Below are 6,729 nucleotides of genomic sequence, written 5' to 3' on the forward strand. Positions count from 1 at the left end.
CCATTAATATTAATATGAATTATATATGCTATGCAAAGGTTTGAAAGATGTGCATCGGTTATTTTCTAAGTTGTTGGTCAGTTTCTAATAATATGGATGCACCATGTAGGTTACCACTTTGAATAAAAAGGTGATATTTATAAAACAGTGAGAAGACATCTTTAGTATTAAAATTGGAAAGATAGAAGGAAGAAAGTTTTCAGAATTTTTCATAAATTTTCATTATAATCCAGTTAAACCCAGTAAAATAGTTATAATAATCTCTGCAGCATGAAAGTATATCAAATTTGGCATGTTTGCAATATTTTCATTTAAATTTAAGGAATATATTTTTCTTTGTTGTTACAGAGTAAACTAAGTGAAAATAAACCATCTAAATGCCTAATGCTCATATACCAATATGTTAATTTTAAGTAGAGCATCAAAGTGGGTGAAAGAACATTCATAATTAATAAAAATAGCTGACTATCCAATTTTAGAGCAATTCAAAAATCCAACTCAAATATGGAGCACCAATTCTCTATCAGTAACACAGTAAACAAGTGAAATTAACTTCATGAGTGTTTTGAAAAATTAAGAAAATGATGACATAAAAATAGATGTCTTTATTGCTACTCATTCCTGAGATGCATCAACTATTGATCATCATGAATATGCACCTAGAATCTTGTTTGATTCCATGGAACTTAAAATGAGCATTATTTTACTAAAATTGAAAGCATCTTAGGAGCTTTTAGCATGTTTGTCACTTTAACTTGATTACAAAATTTTTCATGTGAACACAAATATTTTTAAACCACGTTGATACTAAAAAAAACTAGAATTAAAATGTATGTAAATTATATTAATATAGTCTCTAAAATATACTGCATTTTTATTTTGAGAAATTGGATTTTATGTTTTCATGAAACTTAACAATGTGGTAAAAATAACTATATAATTTCTGATTATAAATTTACTTTATCCACTTTCATAATACTTGATCTTTTATAGCTCATAATGAATATCAATCAGTAAATAAAATTTTTCATAAAAATAACTTCATATGAAATGATTACTAGTAGTTAAATCAAGGAAGCACAAGTTGTCATTTTAACTAACAGACTACAATAAAAAACACATGTAAAATAAAAAGACTACACATTTAAACCTTTGGAAAATGTATTCAGAATTAGTAAAATGTTAACTTTACAAGCTTTAGGTGAACATACCATTCCCTGAGTTGTATCCTGTAGTGTGCTGCACTAGCTAACCAATCAATTTAAATTGACATTTTGCTAGAACAGGAGTATTTGGGGAATAAAAGATGAACACCCTTTCATCCTTACTCATAAATCAGTTCTGTTCTGTGCACAAAATGTAGAAAATCCGTTAGCTCAAGTTATCAAAATACAATCCTAGTAAAACAGCTGCATTTTTTTCCTTTGGCCAATGTAAAGTCATAAAAAGTGAGCATAGTCATAAAAAGTGAGCATAAAGTATAAACCAAGAATGTTATTGTAATCACAATTGCTATAAAACACCATTTTATTACCCCCAAAAACATACTTTTAATGTATGTTCTTTATGTTATAAACAGGAGATTGGCTAGTAGGACATTTACAATGAAAGCACATATAATTTTAAATAGCTCTTATTTTAATCTTTAAGGAAACTAACCAGTCCTTGTGAAAACAGTCCAGAAAATATATTATATGGACGGAGTGATAGGATTTTCCTTAATCTTGCTAGTGATTGTGTCTGCTAAGCAGAAGGGTAATGCATGCTGAATCTTGACAAGCTATTTGTGTTTTGGCCTTATTAAGTTTTGACCCATTTCAGTAATTCATTCTGAGCACATCATTCCTTACTGAAAGACATTCTTGGCCTTAAATAGCTTTAACTGTGTCTGTAGATGACCTCTCATTTGGACTTTCTAGCAGAATATGGTGGTTTTAAAAGATGTTCACCTATTATTTAATAGCCTTCCCCTTCAAAAGGCAGAACCCAATTCCTCTTTCCTTAAGTGTGGGTGGTACTATGTGATTTGCTTCTAACCAATACAATATAGAAGAAATGACTGTGTGGTGTCTTGAGATTCAGAAATAAAAGACGTTATTACTTCTTCCTTATGCTTTCTATTGGATTGTCTTTCTCTCAAGTAAGTAGCTTCAGTGTATTGAGGACATCCAAGCAGTCCTATATCAGTTCTGTAACCTGCAGCCACAGTCATATGAATGGGCCATCTAGGAAATGGAAAACTCCAGTCCCAGTTACAATTCCAAGGTGCAGCCCAGCCACCCTCATGAAAGACCCAAATTCAGAACGACCCAAATGACCTCCTGGATTCTGAACTCTGAGAAACCATGTGAAATAGATATTTGTTGTTTCAAGTTTGGGGATCATTTGTTACACCAAGAATTACTTATTACAGCCATGCAACCCATAGGACACTTCAGTCAAGACTGGACACATATACGACAGCATTCCCCTAAGAATATGATACTGTATTTTCACTATACTTTTTCTACATTTAGATATGTTTAGGTACACAAATATTTACCCTTGTGTTACAACTGTAGACAATAGTCAGTACAGTAACATACTGTACAGGTTTGCAGCCTAGATGCAATAGGCTACACCATACAGTCTCAGTGTGTAGTGGGCTATAACGTCTGGATCTGTGGAAGTACACTCTATGATGTTGGCAGAATGACACAATTGCCTAACAATGACAAATGAATGACTGTATTTTATTCAGTCAACACTTGGAGCTGAAAAAAATGAATCTTTCTTATCAAAGTCTAATTGAAACAAGAGTTATTAGATCTTCTCGGACAATAAAAAGACCATACATAATTTTAACTGGTTACTTCCTTCTTGAATTACTTGCTATTTTTGCTTTGTATTTTGGTTCTATATATTTCGAAATCTCACTAGATATTATTATTGTCTTTGGTGCTGTTGTTGGACTGTTGATTTATGCAATCAATATTTGTAAAGTCTCTCTTTCTTCCCCTGAAAATGCTTTTCCTTCACCTTTATTCTTGCAAGATATTTATATCAGGTATAGAATTAATGGTTGCCATTTTTTTGTGTTTAGTACTTCAGAATACCATTCCATTGTCATTTGTCTTCCTATTTTTTTCCTTCAGTCCATTATCATTCTAATTTTTGTTCCATTGCAAATAATAACCTTGCACTTTAACTGTCCTAAATTTGTTCTCTGTTTTTGATTCCATGTAGTTTTACTATGATGACTCTAAGAATAGTTTATTGCATTCATCCTACTTTGGTTTCTCATGTTTTTTGAATTTCAGCCATTTTCTCTTCAAACATTACATCTGCTCAATCACATTCTTTTCCTCTCCCATACTTAAGTCAGGTATTTTATTTAACTTGTCTTCCGGATTATTCATTGTCTTTACAGCTGTCTTATCTACTATGAAATTTATCCACTGGATTTTTAACTTCAATTATGTTTTTTCCCCAAGGTCAACAATTATCATTTTACTTAAGGTGTCTTGAATTATTTTATGTTTAAGCAAACTCATCAAGTTTTAGAGTCAACAGTGTTTCTATGGTGTTAAAAAAACACATTTTCATAAATACATTTATCACTATTTGAGATTTTGTGTGAATATTTAATTTCCTAATCTGTGTGGAATGTATTCATTTTTATATATGAGGTGAAGTAGGGGATTGATTTCATTTTATATGAATAATTATATTTTACCTCCATTTATTGTAAAATCCTTCTTGTGGTCTATGATATGGCTGGCCAATTGTATTATGTATCAATATTTTGTCCATGCAGATATACATTTCTGGACTCATTCTATTTCATTGATAATTTAGTACACCATGTTTCAGAGAAATCCATTATGAATTATTATGGACCCTGATACCTTATAGCTCACATTCCCAGTCTTTACTGTCATTCAGAGGGCTTTTTCTTACTCTTCCCTTTCTAGACATTCATATGCACTTCAAAATTGCTTTACAATTATAGATCAATTTGGAAAGAATTCCAACATGTACGATATTTTCCTTTCCATAAACATGGCTGGCATATGTCTCTACTTATTTAGATTTTCTCCAATTCCTTTGACTTTTTTTATTTACTCTCTTTGTAAAATAAATGTAAAAATTTTTTTTAAATTCATATAAAATAGCAGATGTGCACAGATTTTTTTCATTGCATTTCACTTGTGTATATATTTTTAACATTTAAAATATATTTTTAGGGATACTCTGCTAAAAATTTAGGACTAAAGGAAAGCAAAACATAGTTTCTGTCATAAAAATTTTGTACTCTAGTAGAAGTCCTGCATGGAAATATATAATTGCAATTAACATTTACAGTTGCTTTACTTCTGCAAGGTAGTTTTTAAAAATTATCAACTTTTTCTATGTTGAGATCTTTAAACTTTTTTTGGTAATTTGGAAACATTATTTCATATTTAATGAATAATAAGTTGATGGATTATGTATTTACTGACAATATTTCTTTAATGTTCTTATAAATTACAAACAACTTCACTGGAAATCACACGTTGGAAATTATCTTTTCAATATCCTCAGTTGAATTTCATTTGATTTTTATCCTGTTGCATGGGATTTCTTTTCTCCTTGCTTCAACACTTTTCAAAATATTTCACACCATACTATCTTTACATTAGTTTGTTTGACTATTCAATGCATTCCTTAAATCTAGATTTGCTTTGGTATGCATTTTGCTTGTTTTATGATTGTTCAATGGCTGATGGAGGCTTTCCTTATGTCTAAAATGCTTTTCTTTTAGTTTTTTTTTTTTTTAATCATGGACTTATTCTTATTATCTCTTTTCTTTATGGAGATGCTAGTTATTCAACCAATATTGGTTGGTTCCAGGTGTACTCCATTCTGTCTGTTACTATTTTCCATTTTTAAAAAATTGATTAACTTCCTGTGCACTCTAGAAGCTTTTCTTAGTTTTTATTGTTTTATGCATCAGTAATTCAATTATCTTCCCTATTTTATGCCCGCAATGAAGATTTTATACCCACAGCAATTTTGGTTTTGTTGCATTGTTCACTTATCTCCATCTTTGCCTTCTGATGGTAGCCGTATGTTTAATAAAGACACCCGCCTTCTTGAAGATTTTCTAAAAATAAATACACCACTTTCTAAAAATGGTCTTTGTATGGCAGCATTCCTAATACAACTTGGTTGTCATTCAGTTTTACTTCTGTAGTAGAAAGAGTACTATCTGCATTTCATTTTACCCATTTGGTATGGACCACAACATCTGACCTACATTTACTACTACCTATGTGTTTCAGGTAATAAAATACACTGGCTTCTTTCTGATAATGTTCTTTCACTGGAATCCTTTTTACAAAATGACTAAAACTTGTTTAGTTGTTGTTGCTGTTTAATCTGGAGATTGATATTGAAAACAATCTATTCAAGCCCAGCCTACATTTTGTAGACAGCTTCTATTAGTTCAAATTCTTATAGTATACTCTTTCCTCTATTCAAATTTGAAAATTCTCAGATTTTTTACTGTACCTTGGTTAATGCTGTTTCTTCTTCTTTAAATTCTAACTAAAAATTAGTAGGCTTTAAATAACAAATATTGATGCCCTTATGAGGATTTTTTATCCTATTTTTTTGGTGATATTGTTTATCAGCTTATGCTTCTTTTTAAACTTCTTTAATGTTTTATGTCTTAATAAGATCTAAATCATCTTGGCTGCTACCATATATTTGCAAATTAGTCAAAGAATAATGAGAACCTACAGTACTAAATATTAAAAAACACTTACTGTGTAAGAGGATGAATGTCTTACCTCTATAAAATGCTAGGCTATGATAGCCTATGCTGAGCTTCTATGGTTTGAAATAATATAAAATGCACTTATGCAAATTAAATACATATTTAAAAAATATCAATAGAAAGCATATAATTTCTACTTAGAAAGCAGAGATACGAAATTTTGAAAATCCTTGTCATAAAACTTTGGCTAGTTATAAATGTTAACTGTATAATTCCTCACTCCAAAATATAAGCATCAATGGATGACCCAGCTCTATCTTATGTATGCATTTTTTCAATTTAATTGGACATAACGAATTTTAATTCTGGTAAACTGTGAAAACATGAATTATTTCATGCATTGTCAGTTAGAAAATTATAAAATTAAGGCAGTTGTTTTATCTTTTTCCCCTCTCAAGTTTCAAAGTTACTTCTGACATATCGACAAGAAGGCTTTCTTTTAAACATCCAAAATAATAAATATGGGGATAACTACTAATTATAACACCTTCTTGAATCCCTTTGCCTGTTATATTTGCTATCATAAGCTAAATACAATCTTGCTCACTTTTGTTTCTTTGGACAGCCTGTCATCTGAGGCACATATTAAACTGTAAATATTCTTTTATTTCCTGGAAAAGTTGGACAGTAAATTTTACTACTTTGACCTTTTTAATATTCTCCATTTTGACTGGTTGTCTGTTCCAATCACACTTCCTGGGATGGTAAACAGGGCAAGGTGGGTATGGCAAGCAAATCAAATTACAGAATACTGAAAAGGTCATGGTGAGACGGTTTTAACTTCACACAAGAGAGAAGGGGGAAAAATATTTATAATGTTTGAAAAATGAGTAAATATGATTTTGTGCATGTGTTAACAAGCAACTAGTAAAAGCCAATGATAAGCGTCCTCTTCTTTATCCCAAATTTTAAATTATTTTTGGACTTTA

Source organism: Homo sapiens, chromosome 18 (assembly GCF_000001405.40).
Source record: "Homo sapiens chromosome 18, GRCh38.p14 Primary Assembly".
NCBI lineage: Eukaryota > Metazoa > Chordata > Mammalia > Primates > Hominidae > Homo > Homo sapiens.